The 22,985-nt window shown below is 44.7% G+C and overlaps 1 protein-coding gene and 2 pseudogenes across 23 annotated transcripts in view; all 3 read left to right on the top strand.

Annotated features, from left to right (window-relative positions):
- Positions 1-22,985, top strand: part of ZNF807P (zinc finger protein 807, pseudogene) — a 135,468-nt pseudogene that overhangs the window by 65,611 nt on the left and 46,872 nt on the right. The window lies entirely within an intron of this gene.
- SCGB1B2P (secretoglobin family 1B member 2, pseudogene) overlaps positions 1-22,985 on the top strand; it is a 100,431-nt pseudogene that overhangs the window by 65,611 nt on the left and 11,835 nt on the right. The window contains exon 2 of one of the 14 annotated variants that reach the window (NR_170967.1): positions 17,950-18,210. The exons of the other annotated variants lie outside the window; for them this stretch is intronic. The product of NR_170967.1 is annotated as a secretoglobin family 1B member 2, pseudogene, transcript variant 12 (transcript). The remainder of the gene's footprint in view (positions 1-17,949; positions 18,211-22,985) is intronic. 14 annotated transcript variants of the gene reach the window in all.
- The window catches only part of SCGB2B2 (secretoglobin family 2B member 2), a 91,631-nt gene that overhangs the window by 65,611 nt on the left and 3,035 nt on the right, over positions 1-22,985 (top strand). For 4 of the 7 annotated variants that reach the window (NR_170947.1, NR_170949.1, NR_170950.1 and 1 more), the window contains 2 exons: positions 17,190-17,374; positions 17,950-20,905. Coding sequence is in view for 1 of the 7 variants with exons in the window: in NM_001025591.4 (NP_001020762.1) it covers positions 16,986-17,046; positions 17,190-17,374; positions 17,950-17,994 (291 nt within the window). In the remaining 6 variants the exon portion in view is untranslated. Of the gene's footprint in view, positions 1-14,954; positions 17,047-17,189; positions 17,375-17,949; positions 20,906-22,985 lie in introns of those variants that run through there. The other 3 variants (NM_001025591.4, NR_170948.1, NR_170946.1) reach the window with 3 other exon arrangements.

Raw genomic sequence — 22,985 nt, 5'->3', positions numbered from 1 at the left:
TACCTACATTTAAAAAGTAGAAAGAGTTCAGATGAAACCAACACAACATATCAACATCTATAGGACACAGCAAAATCAGTAACTGGGAAGTTTAATAGTAAGTACTCACATCAAAAAAACAGAAAGATTTCAAGTAAAACTTAACAATGAATTTCAAGGAACTAGAAGAACAAATACAAATCAAACCCAAAATTAGTAGGAGGAAAACTATAATAAGGATCACAGCAGAAGTAAATAAAATTGAGACTAAAAAACAGGAGATCAAAAAATGAAAAGCTGGTTATGTTTAAAAGATAAAAATAATCAACAGACCATTAACCAGACTAACTATGAAACAAGAAAAAAGGCACAAGTAAATAAAACCAAAAATGAAATAGTAGACATCACAACTGATATCACACAAACACAAAATATCATTAGAGACTGCTACAAATAACTATAAGCTAACAAATTAGAAAACCAACCAGAAAATATGTAAATTATTGGACACATAAAATTTACCAAGATTGAACCCAAAAGAAACAGAACTCCTGAATTGAGCAATTGCAAGTAATGAGATTGAATCTCTAATAAAATATCTCCCATCAAAGAAAAAACCCAGACTCCACTGACTTCCTTCCAGAATTCTACAAAATATTTAAGTAGAACTGATACCAGTTCTTCTCAGAGTCTTCCAAGAAATTGAAAAGAATGGAATTCTTTCAAACTCACTCTGCAAAACCAGTATATCCTGATAGAAAAACCAGACAAGGACACACGCATACAGAAAAAAAAAAAAAACTATAGGCCAATATCCATAATAAACATAGATACAAACATCCTCAACAAAATACTAGCAAACCAACCTCAACAGCTTAGCAAAATGCTAATTCACCATGATCAAGTGGGATTTCTCCCAGGAATACAAGGATTGTGAATGAAAATATACAAATCAATACTTGTGACACATCACATCAACAGAAGGAAGAACAAGAACTGTAAGATCATATAAATAGACACAGAAAATGCATTTGATAAAAGTCAACAATGCTTCATTATAGAAACTCTTAACAAACCGGGTATAGAAAGAATGTACCCCAACATAATAAAATAAATATATGGCAAACCCATCGCCAAAATCATACTGAATAAAGAAAAGTTGAAATGTCATCCTCTAAAATCTGGAGCAAGACAAGAATGGCCACTTTCATCACTTTTATTCAAAATAGTACTGGAAGTCCTAGCCAGAGCAATTAGGCAAGAGAATGAAATAAAGAGCATACAGCCTGGATAGGAGGATGCCAAATGGTCTCTGCTTGCAGATGACATGATCTTGTATATAGAAAACCCTAAAAGGACCAAGAAAAAACTCTTATAACTGATAAAGGAATTCAGTAAAGGCACATGATACAAAATCGACATACAAAAATCAGTAGCATTCCTACACATCAGCAACAAATTAGTAAAGGAAGAAATCGAGAAGTCAATCACATGTAAAATAGCCACCAAAAAAAAGAATAAATTTAACCAAAGAGGTGAAAGATCTCTACCAAAAAAGCTATAAAACATTGATGACAGAAAGTGAAGAAGACATCAAAAGTGAAAAGATGTCTCATGTTCATGATTGGAAGAATTAATGTTGTAAAAATGAGCGTATTACCAAAAGCAATCTGCAGAGTCAATGCAATCTCTATAAAAATACCAACGACATCTTCACAGAGGTAGAAAAAGCAGTCCTAAAATTGGTATGAAACCACAAAAGACTCCAAATAACCAAAGCAACCCTGAGAAAAATGAAAAAAGTTGGAGGCATAACACTTTTTGAAGTCAAAATAGACTATAAAGCTATAGTTTTTTAAAAAATAGTATTGTACTGGCATAAAAACAGACACATAGACCAATGGAACTAAATAGACAACACAGAAATAAATCCACATATTTACCATCAACATAATTTCAACAAAGGTGCCAAGAACATTTACTGAGGATTGGACAGTCTCTTCAATAAATGGTGCTGGGAAAATTGGATATTAATATGCCAAAAATATGAAACCAGACATCCATCTCTAATCATATTTTTCCTTAAATCAACTTAAAATAGCTTAAAGACTTAGAGCAGAAACTATGAAACTACTAGAAGAAAATATGAAGAAAAATTTTCAGGACATTGGTCTTGGCAAAGATTTTATAGAGAAAACCTCAAAAGCACAAACAAAAAAAGAAAAAATAAACAGGACTATAACAAACTAAAAAGCTTCGGCACAGCAAAGGAAATGATCAATAGAGAGAAGAGATGACTTGCAGAATGGGAAAGAATATTAGCAAACTATTCATCTGACAAAGGATTCATATCCAGAATATACAAGGAACTCAAACAGCTCAACATGGAAAAAACACACAAATAATCTGATGTATAAATGGGCATATTAGCTGAATAAAAATCTCTCAAAAGATGACATACAAATGGTCAACAGGTATTTTTCAAATGGTCAACATCGCCAGTCATCAGGGAAATGCAAATCAAAACCACAGTGAGCTATCATCTCACCTCAGTAGGGATGGGTATTATCAAAATTACAAAAGATAACAAATGCTAGTGAGGAAGCAAGGAAATGGGAACTCTTGCTGGTTGATAGGAATGTAAATTAGGATAGGCATTATGATATGGAGGTTTCTCAAAAAAACAAAAATAGAATTACCATATGATCGAGCAATATCATTACTGGGTATACATCCAAGAAAAAAAGAAAGAAAATTAGTATATCGAAGACATATCTGCACACTCATTTATTGCAGCACTCTCATTTATTGCAGCACTATTCACAGCCAAGATTTGACTCAACCTCAGTGTCCATCAACAAGTGAAAAGATGAAGAAAATACGGTATATATATATATATATATATATATGCAATGAGACACTAGCCATAAAAAATTATAAAATTCTGTCATTTGCATCAACATGGATTAACTTGGAGCCATTGTGTTATGTGAAGTAAGCCAGGCACAGGAAGATAAATGCTGCATGTTCTCACTCATCTGCCGAAGCTAAAAAAGTTCATCTCATAGAAGGAGAGTGTACAATAATGGTCACTAGAGGCAAGGAAAAGTTTGGGAGAGGGGTTTATAGCCAAAGGTTGATTAATGGTACAAAGTGCAACTAGATAGGAGGAATAAGTTCTAGTTTTCTATAGCACTGTAGGGTGAGCATAATTAACAATTTATTGTTAAATTACTGATAAGTCTAGTAATGTTGCAGGATACAAAATATACATACAAAAGTTGGAGACATTTATATACATTGATAATGAACTATCCAAAAAAGAAAATAAGAAGGCAATTACATTTCCAGTAACAACAAAAAGAATAAAATGCTTGAAAATAAACTTAGCCAAAGAGGTGTAATACTTGCACACTGAAAACTATAAAACACGATGAGGAAAATTAAGACACAACTGAATAAAATGACTTCATACTTTCATGGATTTAAAGAATGAATATTGAAATATTCATAATACCCAAAGTGATCTACAGATTCAAGCCAATCCCTATCAGATTCCATGAATCCCAATGGCATTTTTTATAGAAAAAGGAAAAAAATCCCAAAATATTTATGGAATCACAAAAAAGCTCAAAAAGCCAAAAGAATTCTGAGTGAGAAGATGAAGCTGGAGGTATTAACCTAAAAAATGAGAGAAAATATTTGTAAACCATATATTTGATAAGGGATTAATATCCAAAATATGTAATTAATTCATAGAACTCATTGCAAAAAACAATCCAATTAAAAATGGGCAAAGGCCCTGCATAGGCATTTTTCCTAAAAAGATATACAAATGACCAACAGATGCATGAAAAGATGTTCACCATCACGAATCATCAGGGAAATGGCAATCAAAACCACAACATACCACCTTACACACATTAGCATGGTTTCTATCCAAAAGACAAGAAATCGTAAGTGTTTGCAAAGATGTGAAGAAATTGGAACCCTTGTGCACTATTGGTAAAAATATAAAATGGTACAGCCTTTATGAAAAACAAAATGGAGGTTTCTCAAAAACTTAAAAATAGAGCTACCGTATGATCCAGAAATCCCACTTCTGGGTATATATCTAAAGGAAATAACATCAATAGATAGGCACCCCTAGGTTCATTGAAGCATTATTCATGGTCACCAAGATAGGGAAACAACCTAAATGCCTGTCAATGGATGAATGGATAAAGAAAATGTGATATATATACACACACACAAAAGCTATCTATCTGTCTGTCTATCCATCCATCTATCTTTCTATGTTTTATAAAATATACAATGGAATACTATTCAGCCTTTTAAAAAAGAGAGAAATCCTGCTCCTTTCAACAATACGGATGAACCTGTAGGACATTATGCCTAGTGAAATAGGCTAGACACAGAAACACAAATCCTGCATGACCTCACTTCTATGTAGAATCTAAAATGACTGAACTCACAGAATTAGAGAGTAGAATGGTGGTTGCCTGGGGCAAAGTGTAGCCGGGGGATGAATGAGTGAGAAGTTGTTGGTCAAAGGGTACAGAGTTTCAGCTATGCAAGGTAAGTGAGCTCTGAAGATCTAATGGACAGCGTGGTGGCCACGATTAATAATACTCTATTGTAGAGAGGAGTCCGCCTTTATCTGCAGGGGATACATTCCACAATCCCCCGTGAAAGCCTGAACCTATGCATAGTACTGAACCTTGTGTACAATATACTATGCTTTTTTTTTTTTACAATGCATCCATACCTATCATAAAGTTTAATTTATAAATTAACTGAGTGAGAGATTAACAGGTACTAATTATAAAATAGGACAATTATACCAATATACTGTAATAAAAGTTATATAAATCTGGTCATTGTCTGTCTCTGAAAATTCTTATTGTACTGCCTCACCAATTTTTGGACCCTAGTTGACCACGAGTAACTGAAACTGCAGAAAGCAAAACTGAAAAAGGGAGAAGCTGTTGTACTTGAAATTTGATAAAAATTTATATCTTAAGTAAGTGTCCTCACCAGCAAAAAAAAAAAGAAAAAGAAAAGAAAAACCTGTTTCCTACCCCTCAAAAAGTTTCTTCTGCTCTCCCTTTTTACTCAAATAATCTCCCCACCCTTAATCATTAGTAGGCACTGGTGTGCTCTTCATCCCTATAGCTTTGCCTTTTCCAGAATTGCTAATAAATGAAATCATGCAAGATGTAGCCTTTGAGTCTGGCTGACTTCAATACCTTTTTATAAATTCTAAATATGATCTTAAATCTATGATGGATATGTCAGGTACCTTGAGTATGGTGGTCACTTCACACTGTAAATATATATGTTAAAGCTGTACATTTTAAATATACACAATTCCTATTTGTCAATTATGCCAATAAAGCTGGCATAATTAAAAACAAATTTTTAGTAACTATGTAAAATTTTTTAAAAAGTTGGTAAAATTTTAAAAAACTACATAAAATTTTTTTAAAAAATTTTAAAAACTACGTAAAATAAAAAAAAAATTTTAGTAACTACGTAAAAATACATTAAATATATTGACACAGAAGAACCAGATTTCTAAAAAAACAAATTGGGTAATCTTATTTCCAGTAATTAAAACATCTGAAAAAATGAATATTAATAAAGATACATTGATACCTTTAAAATTTTAAGATTAGCCGGGTGCAGTGGCTCACGCCTGTAATCCCAGCAGTTTCGGAGGCTGAGGTGGGTGGATCACCTGAGGACAGGAGTTCGAGACCAGCCTGACCAACATGGAGGAACCCCGTGTCTACTAAAAAAATACAAAAAAAAATTAGCCAGACATGGTGGTGCATGCCTGTATTCCCAGCTACTCAGGAGGCTGAGGCAGGAGAATTGCTTGAACCTGGAAGGTGGAGGTTGCGGTGAGCCAAGATCACACCATTGCACTCCAGCCTGGCAGCCTGGGCAACAAGAGCAAAACTCCGTCTCAAAAAATAAATGAATAAATAAAATTTTAAGATCGTAGGTAGAATTTGTCAATGAGAAAATTATTGAAAGAAGCCAGACTCAAAAAGTTACATCTTACATGATTTCATTGATAAGCAGTTCTGGAAAAGGCAAAGCCACCGGAATGAAGAACAAGCTGGTGGCCACTCAGGATTAAGGGCAAGGAGACCATCTGACTACAAAAGCACAGCACAAGGAGTATCTGAAGTTAGGAAGCAACATCTCTACTGTAGTGGAAGTGCCTATGACTCCAGCCATCCATACAAAACCTACATAAGACAGAGTTCTCAAAACTCATGGAAATCCACATCAAAAAGATTGAGTTTGCTGCATGTAAATTTTTTAACATTTAAGACTCAAAAAGCTATGAAGTATTGATACACACAAGACCAATGAAGCCAAAAGATTATAAGATCTGTGAAGGAACTCAGACCAAAAATAGTGCATGTTGTATGATTCCATGTACATGAAGTGCTAGAAAATGCAAACTAATCTATACTGACAGAAAGCACATCAGTGGTTGCCTAGAAAGAAGGAAGGGGACAAAGAGGCAGGAGACAGGCACTTAAAGAGGTACAAGGAAACTTTCATAAGAGATGAATCTGTTCATATTTTGATTGTGGTGGTAATTTTCTGGTTTTTCACAACTGTCAAAAGTTACAAGTTGTACATTTTAGATATACATGCTTCTTATATGTCATTTATACTTCATTAAAGCTGTTATAATAAAAATAAAAATATACAAGATATAAAAATACAATTAGGAACAACTTAATAGAATAAGGCATGTAATAATGGAGGAATATGCACTTTTTAACTGCATGGGGATCATTTAAAAAATTGACCATGTATTAGAGTATAAAGTAGATCTCAACAAATTTCAAAGGATTTTAAAATAGAGGATATAATTTGATCTCAATGCAATTTTCATAAAAATCAATAAAAGATTACAAACTCTTCATATCTATAGAAAGTAAGGATTCAATTGGCCCACTTTTACTGTGTCACAAACAACCTGAAAATTCAATAGATTAAAATGACAATCATTGATGATCACTCATGTGCTGTAGTTTGGCTGGTGTTTCAGCTGATATAAGCTGGGCTCGGCTAGATGGTGAGCACTCAAGCTGTGGGCCTGGTAGGACTTGGCCACTCCTGTAGGTTGGGCTCAAATCTGATCAACATCTATTCATTCAGGGGCTCACCCTAAAGAACCATCACTTACTAAGGAAAAGGTAATCTCATAGTGACCACAGGGATGTGGGAAGGAAAGACTAACTGCATGGTCCTATTGAAGCAATTAACTCCCTATTGTCTGCTAACATCCCATTGTCCAAATCTAGGGACATCCTGAGCCTGATATCAATGGAGTGAGGGGAAATGGGGAACTGCACCTGAACTGGGAGGGCAGTGAGTGATGTATGGACACTGAATGATGACATGATTAGGATCATGTAAAAGACTGTCTGGCAATATAGCAGCACAAAGTAAATATTCTTGAACATTAAATTAATCTGCTAACAACTGACAAACTTACCTAAAGGGAGACATTAAAAAGAAAAATGGGAAAGACACAAATAATGAATAAATTATTTAAAAGGAGATCTCCCTAAGACCCTTCAGCCATATAAAATAAGAGTATATTCAGTAGATTGAGGTGGGAGCATTGCTTGAGCCCAGGAGTTTGAGGCTACAGTGAGCTATCATCTCACCTGTGAATAGCCCCTGCACTCCAGCCTGGGCAATATAGTGAGACGTTATCTGTTAAAAAAAAAAAAAAAAAGTAATAAAACATTAAAAAATAAGATATTATGGAAACTTTGTCTGTATTTTAAATTAGGTGAAGTGTTTAAATTCCAAGAAAAATATTCAAATACTGACATGAGAAGAAAGAGAAATCCTGCATAGTCCTTATGGGCAAACTGTGAACAGCAGGCCTAGGCTCTCTCCCTATAATTAATCCTGGAACAATGACATTGCTCTCATTTTCCTCCAGCACTGCCTCCTTAGAATGGACTTAGATCAATGAGAAATGCTGCATTTCAGGCATTGTTTATTGTGAAAGCTTTGCTTGGGGGATTGCACCTGAATTGGGAGGGCAGTGAGTGGTGTATGGACATTGAATGAAGACATGATTAGGACCATGTAAAAGACTGTCAGGAAAGCAAGGCAATGACTTTCCTGAATTAACATGGACATGGAGCTGTCCTCCAGTGTTGTAAGATATTCTGGATCAGACAGTGATACATGAACATGCCAAGGTGAGCCTCATGCACATTAATTTCAATTCCCAAATAACTATCCTCCTGAATGGTGGTGTGAAATGTTAGACTGCTGCTGCTGGACATCTCTCACCCCACCAATAACACTGAAAATGCTGAACATGCTTTTTCTTTGTCCTTTCATAAATCTAAGTTAATTTAGAGTCAGGTGAACATCTATTGTGCCTGTGAGTTTTATTACCCAGAAGAATCTGCAACTGTTGCTGGTGGCCATGCAGTCCTCTAATTATCTGTAAAATTAAATTAAAATTTTTAAAGATTTTGCAAAGAAAATCCCATGCAGATAGCTTTTCTGGAAAGTTCTGGCAAATACTTAATGAGGAAACCACTCTAACCTTACACAAATTCTTCCAAACAATAAAAAATGATGGTTCATTCTCTGTATCCATCAGTGTCCCTGCAGGAAAGAAATGGCAAACTCACATGGGACACCTGAGGAGAGTTTAATGAATGGCTCTTGGCTGTGGGGTGAGCAAAGTTAAAAGAAGCCAATAAGAAAACACCCAAGGCTAGCAAAAGCGAAATATCTAAAGGGAGATAAGGAAAAGGAGCTATTACTACAATGAACTGAGACCAGTAACTGCAGGAAAGGTCAAGCACACGGGACCTTTGACCATCAGTAGAGGGGTGCAGCTACTGTCAACCTGTAGCCCTAAGGGAAGTCAGCTGGGAGTGAATTACTTCATCTCACCCTCCTCTTCCTTTTCATTTCCCGCCTTATCTCCAATATATCAACCCACAAAAAAACAAAGGGCAACGTAGCCGAATGATGCAATCCAGAAAAGGCCATGTTCTGGGGTATGGAGCAGGTTGGGGAAAGGGTAGACTAGATCTCTTAGAATAAGTGGAAACCGCCACTGCATCCCCTGATTCATTTAATGAGGCTGGTATAATCCTGACACCAAAATCCAACCACTCAAGGACATAGACAAAATGTTCCACACAATATATTAGCAAAGTCAATGAGATTATATATAAAAAGAATAATGATACCAATTAAGGCAGATTTATCCCAGAAATGCAAGCCAGGTTTCACATTGAAAAATCATCTGATATACTTGGACACATTAACAGAACTAAGAAAAAACTATATGCACATTTTATTAAATGTAAATAAGATGTGTTCTAAAATTCATCATCTTTCCTTTTTTAAAAAAATGCTCTTAGAAGACAGAAATAAAATAATATATCCTTAATCTAACAAAGAGTGTCTACCAAAAGTATCCTACAGTAAACTTCCTATGTAATGGTGAAATATCAAAAGCTATCCTTTTGAATCTGGATGAAGGGTATCCAGAAATACTTTTTAAAATTTTTGTAGCTTTTCATAAGCCTGAAACTGTGCCAAAATTTAAAAATTATTATAAAATAAAAAGCTGTCAAGAACAAAACACAAACAAACAAGAAACCCTTCCCCTTGGGTTCAGATACTAAACAAAAAAGCCTACTTTCACCATTGTTACCCAACACTGTGTTAGAGATTCTACAATGCAATAAAGCAAGACAAGTAAAAATCTGAGGATTGAAGAGGAATAAACAAATAGGCATTAGATAGAGTTATATATAGTCTTAGAGCATCTACAGATAAAATATTAAAAGTTTTTTTAAATGCTGAATACAAAACAATATAGAATAATTAAAATTTCCTATACAACAGCACTTACATGTATAAATGTACACTTTAAGAGAAGATAACATCTACAATGGCATTAAAATAGCAGGTGCCCTGGAATAAATAAATTAATACATTCATATGAGTGGTACAGAGATACATAGGTAAAAATTATTGAGAGAAAATAGGGAAGACCAAAATAAATGGCAACATGTACCAGCTTTATGGAGAGGAATACTCAATATTATCAAAATTTCAGTTCTCTCCAAATTGAATTCAACAAGCTGTTTCTAAACTTATATGGGAATGCAGAGGGCCAAAACCAGCAAAGACACTCTAGGAACAAGGCCAAAGTGGAAGGACTCCCTCTACCAGAGTCAAGAACTAAAGCTTTAGTGTGTAGTCAACACAGTGCCACATTGGCATAGAGACAGACAAACAGACTAGTGAGACAAAATAGAGAACTCAGAAGCAAACTACGGCCCTCTATGGTGCACTTGATTTTTGACAAAGAGGACACAGAGCAGTAGAATAAAGATTATCTTCTCCTAAATGGTACTGGGACAACAGGATATCTAAATAATTAAAAAGGTATTGGACTCTTACCCACACCTTACACAAAGTCCATTCCATGTGGATTATAGACCTCAATGGACAAAGCAAAATAATAAAGACTTTACAACTCTTTATGTAAAAGAATATCTTTATGACCATGAGATAAGAATGTTTACATAAACAAAATGCACACACACACACACACACACACCACACCCCGAGCAGAAATATAGCATTGATAAATTTAATTATAGTAAACTTTAAACTTCTTTTTATTAAAATCATTAAAACATACAAAGCTAATCCACAGTGGTGTTGGGGAAGACATTTTCAACAACTAACCAAACAAGGGCTCTTACCAAGAATATAGAAAGAACGCCTACAAATCAGTCAGAGGTGGAAAAAATAGAAAAGAACATGCAATATATAAATGGGAAGAAAGATTCCATTCACATTTCACTAAATGACGAATAAACACATGAAGAGGCCTCAACCTCATTACACCAGAAAATGCAAATGGAAACCACAGTGAGATGCCCCTGACACCTACCTACCAGATGGTTCACACAACACTGACGATACCAGATTGTGGCAATCTAGAGCAGCAGGAAATACTACAGTGTGGCTGGGGAAGTGCATTGTACAACTGCTTTCAAGGTTTCCTGTTTCCTAGGATAGTCAAGAATATGAATGCCTTATCACCTAAAATTCCACACATGGGCACAAACCCCAACAAATGTGAATATAAACGTGTACAAGACATCAACATATGAAAGCTCCCTACAGTGTTGTTCATGATAATAGAATCAGTGTACCAGGGTAGACTTAAACAATGGAGATAACAACATGGATGAATATCAACAACAATGGGGAACAAAAAAGTAAGATACGGGAGAACAGACACATTACGATCCCAGCCATATAAATTGTAAAAGAGCAAAATTAACGTTTACTGTATATGAAGATGTTTAGGTAGAAAAACCATCCACTGAAACAACAAGTTAATGGGTGCAGCACACCAACATGGCACATATGTAACAAACCTGCACGTTGTGTACATGTACCCTAAAACAAAGTATAATAAAAAAAAACCATAAAATCAGGACAGTGGTCTACTCTAGGAGGTGAGGCTGGTGCCTTGAGGGGCTCACAATGATCTTTCTTGAACTGGAGGGCGCATTGTGAGGTTTGCATTACAGTAATCACTTAAGATACACTTTACATGGTGTGTACGTCTCCATACTTGTGTTCTATGTCACAATAAAAAGATGATTAGAGGTCAGGGGAGGAGGGAAAGGGAGAAATGGGAAGTGAAGAAGGGGAGAAATGGAGAAGGAAGAAGAGAGGCAGGAAGACTGAGGAACAGGGGGAAGAGGGAGAGAACAGGGCGGGGAGGAAAAGACAGGAGAGGACAGGGAGGGAAGAGAGGATGGTGATATGGTTTGGCTCCGTGTCCCCACCCAAATCTCATCTTGAATTGTATGCCTATAATTCCCACATGTGTGGGAGGCACCTAGTGAGAGATCATTGATTCATGAGGGATTTTCCCCACACTGTTCTCATGGTAGTGAATAAGTCTCACGAGATCTGATGGTTTGATAAGGGGAAACCTGTCTTGCTTGGCTCTCATTCTGTCTCTTGCTGCCGCCATGTGAGATATGCCTTTCACCTTCCACCGTGATTGTGAGGCCTCCCCAGCCACGTGGAACTTTAAGTCCAATAAACCTCTTTCTTTTGTAAACTGCAGAGTCTCAAGTATGTCTTTATTGGCAGCATGAAAAGAGACTAATACAGATGGGGAGAAGGAGAAAGGGCGAGCTGCACCCATGTGACCTGCCTGCCCCAACTCCTCCACAGCTGGGTCGTCCTCCCCACCCATCCCACTCCTCCACCATAGATCCCTCTGCTGTGGGACTACTCCCTGCTCAGCAGGCTCACCAGCTCCAGGCCCTTCTAGAAAGCCTCATCTCTCAAAAACCTGTCCCAGAACTCTAAGGTGAACCTACAGTTGAGGGAGCTCCTCTCCCAGTATCAACCTAGCTCCCAATTCCCAGTGCAGGAGAAAAGCAAAGCAGGTGAGCTGGGAGGAGTGCAGGATTTGGGGGCAGGCCATTCTCCAGGTGCCAGCCTGGCCGCAGGGCCAATGGTGCCTGGCAGAGAACCACAGGACTTGGTAAGCAGAGGCCAAGCAGGCCCCAAGGCCAGATTTGAGTGGGAGCCAATGTGGCCACGTGGGCAAGAGGCCTGACTAAACAGCCCAGGAGTCCCATCTACACCACTGGGTCCCTGGAAGATGCTCAAGTTCCCCAAACAACTGGGGATCAGAAGCAGGGGATTAGAGTCACACTTCATCTTAGACACCAGCCCCAGCCCTGTCTCAGCCACAGAGAGGCCAGGGCACGGACCTGTCACAAGGAAGTGATTCCTGCATCACAGCACAGGCTGGAAGCAAGGCAGGAAATGGGGACTGGCAGATGCCACATGCTGTGCCTACAGGGCCACACCCAGCTGCACTCTTGCCCCTACCCTCCCTATCCCAGCAAAGCCATGCCCCATGGTTTTCCCCCTGGGTCCAGACCCCACCACCCCAAAAGCCTGGCTGAGGTGTCCAAAAATCCTCTGCAGGATGCCCAAGTTCCTCAAACAACTGGGGATTAGAGTCCCCTCTAGTGACCTCACCTTGGACAGCAGCCCCAGCCCTATCCTCAGCCCCAAGGACGCCAGGGCATGAGGCTGTCACAAGGAAGTGGGTGGCTCAAGGCCAGTGCCTGTGCCTTGGCTGAGGGACACGGCTCAGGTCGGTTTGCTCCATAATTCCCTAGACCCTACAGACCCCATTCCACGCTCTGCTGCAGCCCAGTGTGCCGCACACTGCTCTGCTGTGCCATGTTGTGTTGTGTCAAGTTGTGCCGTGGCATGTGCTGCGTCACTGTTCCTGCAAACTCCCTGTCCGGGAGCTCTAGGGCCCTGACCTCTGAGAATTCCTAGCCCCGAGTCAGCCTCAGGCAAGGCCTGCATTCTTGCTGCCTCCACTTCCCTGGCTCAGTCTTGCAGCCCCCGCTGACCCCTCTGCCACTCACCTACCACCCATCACCCCCACTTAGAAGCCAGAAAGCAGTGGGAGCAGTCTCCCCGACCCCTCCATTCTCTGCCCCCTCTGCCCCCTCACTCCATTCTCCAGGACTCTCTATCCTAACATGGCTCTTGAAAACGCCCTGACCCACCCACCAGCCCCAGGGCACCTCCTGCCCAGTTGTTTGGCACAAGAGACGCCCCCACACCGGCCCCATCATGTGCCCTGCAGGCCTCGAGGCTGCAGCATGGGATGCCTGTCTGGCCCTGGACCTGCCCTGGGCCCCGCTCTCTGCTGCTGCTCACAGGGCAAAACCAAATAATTGTTGTCTTCCCTCTGAAACGGTGGCCATGAGGGTGCAGGGAAGGCCTCGCGTCCCTCCTGTGCCCAGGCCCCTCACCCACACCCTCTGGCTGGCTGCATCTGCTGCCCAGAGCCCTTGGTCACAAGGCGCATAGCCCAGACCACAGTGATGACAAGGGAGGCACTTCCTAAGCCTAGAGATGGTCTAAACCTTCATGGAACTGCTGGTCCCAGTGCCAGCCAGAGTCCCAGGTGAGGCTGAGATGGCTGAAAGTGGTGCACGGGAGATGTCTGATATCAAACCCTCTAGGGAGGTAGATGATGTCTCCAGCCTGGTGACTTCCCTGGCCTCCAGCCACCACCACCCCCAATGTCCCCAGGGCTAAAAGTGCAAGCTTGCCCTGGCCCTGGCATAGAAAGTGCACGATCTGGTCATGTCATGCAGGTGAGGATACCTGTGTGCCAGGTAACCTCAGGTGGGCATGGTGGCTCTTGTGGGGCAGTCCTGTAACCTGCAGTGTGGTGGGTGGGATGGATGCATGTGACACAGGCAGGAACTTCCTCTCATGGCACTTGAGGACCCACATGTGGTGGGGCTGATGGGAGTCACAGGTGAGTGGCTGGGCACAGGCAGGTGATTGAGTGACAGCTGCACAAACCCCATCACTGAGCATGTCCCTCCCAGGGCAATGCAGATCAGCCACTGGGAGGGACATGCTCCAAGCCCTGGGAGGCCCAGAGGGGCCTCAGGTCCTCAGGAAGCCTCCTGGCCCTCTCTACCCTCAGAGGACCCCCCTCCCTCTAGAGACCCCTCCAGCTGGCTCCACTTGCAGCTGTGGGGGTTGAGACGGGACACAGTGCTCTGGGGTCCAGAGAGGGAAGGAAGATGGAGGGAGGGCGGCCCTCTGCTCCCAGGTCCTCTATTCCCTGACTCTGCTGCTCAGCCCCACTGCGGCCCTCTTGGAGCCCACACCTTTCAGCTGCAGTCTCCCAGCCTCTGTCCCCAGGACGAAGCCCACTCAGACAGTGCTTCTCCACTGTACCTGGCTTTTCCCCCTGGGGAGGGTCCCCAAATGGTGTAAAGTGAGGAAACATCCCCTGTCCCTGCCCTGCTGGGTCCCCACACCAGGCCTCCCCCATCTCTCCCTTTCTTTCTCAGACACAGACCCAGATGCAGAGGCAGAGGCAGCCACACAGCCCCTCCCAGCCACAATCACAACCTCATATTCATATAATCACAGACCCTCCACCCCACATAGTGGGTGGAATCCTGCCAGCGCATTCCACTCACACACACACAAAATCCCATTCTCACACACGTGCACCCAAGCCTCGTCCCGCACACACAACATGACAGGCCACAGAGCCGGCTGAGAGTCTCAGCACGCATGGACGCCTGCACTGCGCAGGTTGCAGCCCAGGCTGCAGGACCACAGGTGGCAGGGACGACACAGCAGGTGGCCGGCCAGGGAGTGGCAGTGGCCTCCATCCTCCCTGCTCAGCCACAGCCCCTGCTTCAGCGTCTGCCAGTCCAACTGTCAACTCATCCACTCAACTTTACAACTGGAATGTGGGGGCGTTCAGGGCCCTGCCACTGGTGACGGCCACTCTAAGTCCTACCCAATGCTGGGTAGGTCCTTTAAGAGGCCCAAGTCCTGGGCGCTACTATGAGGTTCTGTACGTGCACAGTGATGGCTCATGCCTGGCCGAGGTGAGCCCACTCAGTCTGGGTGGCACAGCCTAATCTAGGAACTGCTCTGCGGTTCTACATGGCTCTCAGCAGCCCAGTGAGTGTCCTCTGCACCGGGCGTGTCCCTCAGGTGCTCCTAGCCAGACCCTCCCTTGACACAGTAGGGCACAAACCGCTATTGGAGCGGCACTGGCACCCGAGTGTACAAGCGTCAGCATCCCTGCTGCCTTCCCCACCCCCAGCTGTCCCCACCTGCTGATTCTGCCCCTGGGGTCACACTTACAATTTAGGGTCCTGTCAGGAGACAAAAATCACGTGAGTGACATCAGCTCCCTCATATGTAGGTGCTGGGAAAAGGGCTTGTGGGGTGCCTGTATAAACTGGCCATAAAAATACGGGAATAAGTTGTGGAAAGCCACAAAAGGCCTCTGAGGAGGAAAGCCTCCTAATTGCCATCATGTTCCCATGCTCAGAGCAAGACCCGCTGTCTTCTCTGTAAACACTGTGCTCAGGGAGAAAGACACTTCTTTGAAACACTGGAATGTGGACAGACGTGCAGGCTCCCAGTCAAGGCCGCTCCTACTAGCTACTCTCCAACAAGTTAAAGTTATGCTGTTTGAGCACAAAGGAGACTCATTTAAACTGCTATTGCTATAGATTATGCCTGTGATGCACTGCCACCCTTTCACTGTTTCTCCCTGAACATCTGCTTCTTAGATCGAAGGGACTGTACTCAATAAATAGTGTGGAGACCAGAGCTCGGCACCTTTTGCAGCCTCCACATTTTGCACTGGCCCCCTGGCTCCCCACCTTTCACTCTTAACTTGTCTTTTCTCAATCCTTTGTCACCACCAGACTTCGGGTACCCTACGGGTAGTGTTGAGGCTGGTCCCCAACATGTAGGATCCCTTCACTGTGTCACATGTGTCCCTAACACACTTGCTACATCTCATGTCCTTTAGGTTCTGTGTTTTACTCCAGATAATGTTCTTTGAATCTAAATTACAGTTTACTGATTTCTCAAAAGCTGCACCTAATGTGCTATCCATTCAGACAGACATACTCACTTAGCAAATGTTTGTTGAGCCAGCACTCAGTGGCAGATTCTGTGCTAGGGCGTGCCAAGTGCAGACACACGTTTGCCAAGACACAGGGTCACATGTGCATGCACACTCAGACTTGCAGGCTTACACCAGTGTTCAGCCTGCTCCCAATCCCAGGGAGCTCCAGGGAGGACAGAGAGAATGTCACAACACCCAACCCCTCCCACTGCATGCTGAGTCCAGTTCCCGATACGCTGCCACCCCAACAGCATGGCCCAGGGCCGAGGGTCTCTCTGCAGACCTGCCCTGACCACATTCACACACACACACACACACACACACACACACACACACACACACACACACACGAAGAGGCATGTGCCTTGTTCAGATATACATAAAGCTCACCCATCGCCAAATTCCCTGCCTGTGCCTGCTGGGACCAGACTCCGCTGTCATGAGGGTGACATCCGCCACCTGTGCTCTTCTGCTGGCTCTGATCTGCAGCGTCCAGCTGGGTAAGAAAGAGGCGAGCAGGGCTGGGAGGAAGCGGTGGCCCTGCTCCTTCACTCTCATCACCATCCCAAGGTCTCATTGGCCATGGGAGGTTTCGCTGAATTCTGACCTCCTCTGTTTTCTTATCTCACCTCATCCTCCACAGGGGATGCCTGCCTGGATATCGATAAACTGCTTGCGAATGTTGTGTTTGATGTGTCCCAAGACCTCCTGAAGGAGGAGCTTGCTCGTTACAACCCCAGTCCCCTGACAGAGGAGTCCTTCCTCAATGTCCAGCAATGCTTTGCCAATGTCTCCGTGACAGAAAGATTTGCTCATTCAGTTGTTATTGTGAGTGTGCCCGGGGGGACCTGCACACACTACATGGCCACACGTCCCAGGCTTGCACTTCCCTGCACTTGCCTTCCATCCTGCTTTCCACGTTTTAAGCAGGAAGCCACATCCCAGGATGCGCAAAATCAGATGAAGTTCCCCACCTGCCCCAACAGGGCCCTCCTGCCTCACCTCTCCAAGTCCTCGACCCAGACGCTGCAACTCTGCAAGGGGAGAACCTCTGCCCCTGGTGCCCGGGAGAGGCCTAGGCATGCAGGGAACCACAATCACTGCACCAAAGCACTGATGATGAGTACACAGCAACACACACTCACACAGGACGCTGTTAACAGCAACACACACACCCCATGCCTGCCCACACACATGCATACACGTGTTACACCAACACATGCAGAGTCACACTCAAGCAGGAGACACAACCCACATCCACCATCTTTGTCCAGAGCCTGGGATCCCCAACAAGCAGACACACTCAAGGAGCTCCTCTGAGCTCGGGGACCGGGCAATAACGATGAGTCTGGGGAGCCTTTCACAGAGGCCACCGGCTCCTCTCTTTCTTCTTTTTCCAACAGAAGAAGATCCTTCAGAGCAACGATTGCATAGAAGCAGCCTTCTGATCTGAGGACCCCTGCAGATCAGATATTGGCCCTCCTGCCTTCCTTGGGGCTCCCCGCGTTCCTGGCCTGGCTCTGTTCATCACTACAGAGACCCCAATGAACACCTGCAGCTCAGTTCTGTGTTCTGGCATCTGTGTGGGGTTGGCTGTGACCGCATATGCAGAGTGTGACCAGGGTCCCAGTGTGAAAATATGCGACTGAGGAAAAACTCTACAGGTGTAGCATAGACATGCCTGTTTTCTTTTTGGCGGGGAGGAGGGTGGCTGGAGTGCATTGGCGCGATCTTGGCTCACTGCAGCCTCCACCTTCTGGGTTCAAGCGATTCTCCTGCCTCTGCCTCCTGAGTAGCAGAATACAGCCACACACCACCACGCTTGGCTAATTTTTGTATTTTTAGTGGAGACAGGGTTTTGCCATGTTGGCCAGGCTGGTCTCAAACTCCTGACCGCAAATGATCCACCTACCTCAACCTCCAACGTGCTAGGGTTAGAGGCATGAGCCACTGTGTCCAGTCGATATGCCTGTTTTCGGAACCCAGGAAATCAACCTTAACACACTTCTCCATCCCTACCTACCCAAGCTGTCCTTTTTTCTCCCCCTACCTCTACCCCACAACCCCTCAATGCAGAACCTCCAGGGCTCCCCAGGACTCGGGATGCTGGAGGCTGGGAAATCACACCCTCCTGGCTAAGTCACAAGCCTCAGCGTCCCCATAAATACCTGCAGCTCAGCTCTGCTCCTGGGGCTGGTGGGACCAGGCAATCTGCATGAGGCCATGGGTCTGTGTGGCCATGTCACCATGACAGGGGACATTGACATTGAGGTCACAGGGAACGAGTGCCACCCTCAAACACGGCCCCTCTCTCCCACCTCACCCCTCAGTTGATTTCATCCTCGATGGAGGTCTCAGTGGCCTTCAATACACTGATGAGGCTCCATCAACTCCTTCTGGGGGAGGTCCCTCCCCAAACCTCAAGCCCTTTCCGCAGGCTCCTTGGACCTCCCAGGCGGTGGTCGCCTACCCCTATCAGCTCACACCGCCCTAGACTCCTCCCTCTCCCTCCCACCCAGGTGTCTCTCAGATGACACCCTCCAAACCCTGTCCCTCCCTCCTGCTCAGGTCAGCGAGACCTCCATCCCTCTGAGTCTCCCTGCCTCCAGCCTCACTCCCCTTCCATGGGAATACCAGCCTGGATCTTCTTTCTCCCTGGATCTTTGAGAGCTCATTTCCCTACAAGTGCAGACCCACCTTCAGCAGGGCACACACGGCTGGCCAGGACAAGGCTCCACTGCTGACCACCCTATCTTTGCACTCCCAGATTTCCTTTCAACATTCTTCTCCTCCCTCACTCCCACTGCCCAAAATGCCCTTTCTCCCTTCCACCCATTCTCCTTGTCATCCCTCAGCCGTCATCTCCTCCAGGTCACACGTTTCAGTCCCCCATCTCAGGACACATCATCTCCCCTCTGTCCCCAGAATTGGCCTCATTTAATGCACTTTCCATCCCAGTCATCACCCATCCACTCAGCCAGGGAAGAAGTGTCCCCTGCCACACATCAGGCCCTTTCCCAGAGCCGGGCACCCAGTGGAAAACAAGGCAGGTGACGGCCCTGCTTCCCTGAAGTTCACATCCAAGGTGAAGAGGGGGTTGCAAAGCTCAAGAAAATTGTAATAGTGATGAGAACCACAAGGACCACCCAACAGGGAAATGTGATCAGGCGGGACTGGCTTGAGGTGCCACATTGGTCAGGTGGTCCCAGAAGGCATCTGAGGAGACAACATCTCCCCTGAGTCCTGAAGAACCTGAGGCAGCCACCAGGTGAAGGTCTGGGGCAGGGAATGCGGCATGATGAGAAAGGATTTGTTGTGTTGGAGAAATGGCCAGTGCAGCTGGAACAAGGGGCAGCAGGGAAGGAGGTCACGTCAGAAAACGAGGCAAGTGCCAGGTCACGCAGGACCTTGCAGAAAGGTGGATCCTTTCCATGTGCAGTGAAAAATCCTGGGAGGGGATGAGCAGGACTTACGAGGTCACACTTTCCCTGTTGGAATAGAGCAACGGGGGCGGCAGTAGAGGCAGGAAGACCAACTGGGAGTCCCTGTGGCCGTCCAGGTAGACACCGTGGCCTTGTCACAGTGCAGCCCTGGAGAGACACGAGGGAGACAGAGGCTGGGGCAGCACTGACAGCACCTGCTGTTGAATTGAATATGGGGAGAGGATGTGGAGAGAAGGGGAATCAAAATGATCTCATCACATTTGGGCTGGAGCAGCTGGCTGGATGTGATGCCACTGCTGAGAAGGTGAAGCCTGGGGAGGAGCAGGTTTAGGGCAAAGATCCAGAGTCCCATGCTGGCCTGGATAAGTTTCCCACATCCAAGACATCCATTAGCTATCCAGGAGGACGGGACACAGGGGGTGTGAGACGCTCTAGTTTGGAGCTCATGGAATAGTTGGGCCTGGAGACAAAAACATGTAAATTTCAGCATTTCAATGGAATTTAAATCTGTGGAGCTAAAGAAAATAATGCAGATCATGCTACTTATTCAGTCTCAATTAAAACTCAGCTTGTAGCAATCAAAGATGGAGAGTTTCAACCAGAAGTAAATGAAAAGAATTAGAAATGCCCTGAGAAATTTGGACAAACATGTTATTGATATAAATACTTTGAGATGCAAAAGCATTTCACATGTGTTTGAAAGAATAAGGAAAATGTTAGAAAATAATTGTCACTGAAGATGAGTCTACCCATGATCTGTCAGTTGTCCTGAAATTGAGTAATTTCTTAAAATGACAATGTCCTGTGAGTTTACTTTAACTAAAATGCTTACGACTCTGTTATTCTTAATGATATGTGATGATCTCTGTATTGTTGGTATAAGGAATTATATTCCCTACTTGTATGTTTCATAGAATATTGAATTTCAGCCATAACTTAGTAATATTAACCTAGCACTATATGGAGCTTCTCCGGCACCCACAGAAATGCCTCATCCACATCCTCTTCAACAAGAGTCTTGCTGCCCAAATGTAGGAAGTGCTGTCTCTGAAACAGATAAAAGAATGGAAGGATAGATGGATAGCTGGACAGATGGATTGTTGGATGGATAGGTGGATAGATGCATCTATGGATAGATGATGGATGGATGGATGAATGGATGAATGGATGGATGGATGAACGGATGGATGGATGGATGGATGGATGATGAGTGCATGGATGGATGGAAAATAGAATCATAGCTGAGATCCATGTTCCATTTGAGAGAGGTCAGGTCACGACATGAGGACACCTGGGACCTCCTCCAGGCCCTGTGTCCTTGGGCTGTGCAGGACCTTGGAGGTGGAAACCATACCCCTTCTGTCTTCAGTCCTCTCCTGTGTAATGTGAGAAAAGTGGGCCAGGTAACATCCTCAGGTGTGGTCTAGGGACAATAGGCTTCAAAGCCATTCTCAAGGTTGAAATGGGGTCATACCCACATTCCTGGTTTCCCAGGCCTTGGATCCAAGGACATACTCAGAGAACTTGTGATGAAGAAATGAGTAAACAATGAGCAGGTGGTTTTATGTCCTTGTTGACTCTGACCTGGATTATGGCAGCTGCCTCCTTCCTCTAGGACCAACTCCCTGGGCTCCAGGCCATCCCCACAGCTGCCAGAGTGACCTTCCCTGCACTCCATGGCAGCACCTGCGGCTCCAGGAAAAGCCCTCGGGGGCTCCTGATCCTCCTTCCTCAGGATAAAATGCAGGCCCTGTGCAGGTCATTGGAGGCCCACATCTTCTGTCCCCACACCTGCCTTGAACTCACCCTCCTCCTCCATCATCCACACTGCCCTGGGATCTGGTCCATGACTGTAGGTCTCACCCCCTAGGCTGCAGCACAAAGGGTCACCATGATGACAAGCCCTTCTCCACTGAGCCTGTGTGGGGAACCCTGGCCCATCCTGCCAGCTCCCCCTCCACTCCTCCCTGCAGCCTCCAACTCTGTTCATCTCCCCTCACCCATGACAGCCAGAGCCCCTGGAGGCCTAAGTCCACCTTGCTGCTGGGTTCCTTGACCTACTAATAGGATACAAAAGGCACAGGGACATTTTAATGCCTTAAGTGCAAGTGAGACCCCTCAGACCTGTCACTCAGGTCCAGGGGCCTCCCAGGACTCCTGAGCAAAACCTCTGCCAGGCTCCCACCAACTCAGAGCTGGCCTCCTGCCCTGGCTCTGAGCCACTCCCTGGTAGAAGACAGGCCGTTGAGCCATCCTCTCTGCCCTGACCAGTGCTCCCCACACCTCCCTTTAGCTCAGTCCCATTTACCTCTCCTGCCTGAAGTCAGCCTCCCACACCCTTCAGAGCCACCTCACAAGGTCACTCCAGTCTTAGGTGGGCAGTACGTCTAAGTGTTGACCTTCCCATAGCCTCCCTCCAACCCCTAAGTCATTGCCCAGAATGCAGAGGTGACCTCTTACAGTCCAGGTCTCATCACGTCACCACACACCCCAGACACCTACCCATATCTCTCAGCACAGAGTCCATACCCAGTGCCAGAACACACAATAGGCAGGACCCAGCCTGCTGACCTTGAGACCTGATCCTCCACCCTCCCTCTGTACACCCCAGCTTTCCACTTTGCTGGGCCCCATCTCTCAGGTTTCTTTTTGTCTCTGACCTCTGCCAGGGTGGTTCCAACACTTGACCTTCTCCAGGTCTCCTTCTCCAAGTCAAGAGTGAACTCTTAGCACCCCCATTTCCTTCTCCTCCATCCATCGGTCACCCCATATGTGCCCTGAGGAGTGTGACCAAGTCACCAATGCCCTGTGTGTCTCCTGCATGGGCTCTGCGTGACTTCACTAGACACTGGGTCATGTTGGTTGAGTGCACAGGACATCAGCAGAAAGTCTAGTGAGAGAGGGACTGGAGCGGGAGATGGAGCATCCGACCCCTGTGGGGTGGCAAGCCCTGGGGCTGAGCATGCCAGAGGTCTGGAAACTCACCAGGCCTGACA

This window comes from Homo sapiens, chromosome 19 (assembly GCF_000001405.40).
Source record: "Homo sapiens chromosome 19, GRCh38.p14 Primary Assembly".
In the NCBI taxonomy this organism is placed as follows: domain Eukaryota; kingdom Metazoa; phylum Chordata; class Mammalia; order Primates; family Hominidae; genus Homo; species Homo sapiens.
The sequence above is the reverse complement of the archived record's forward strand: the minus strand, read 5'-3'. Positions and strand labels throughout refer to the sequence as shown.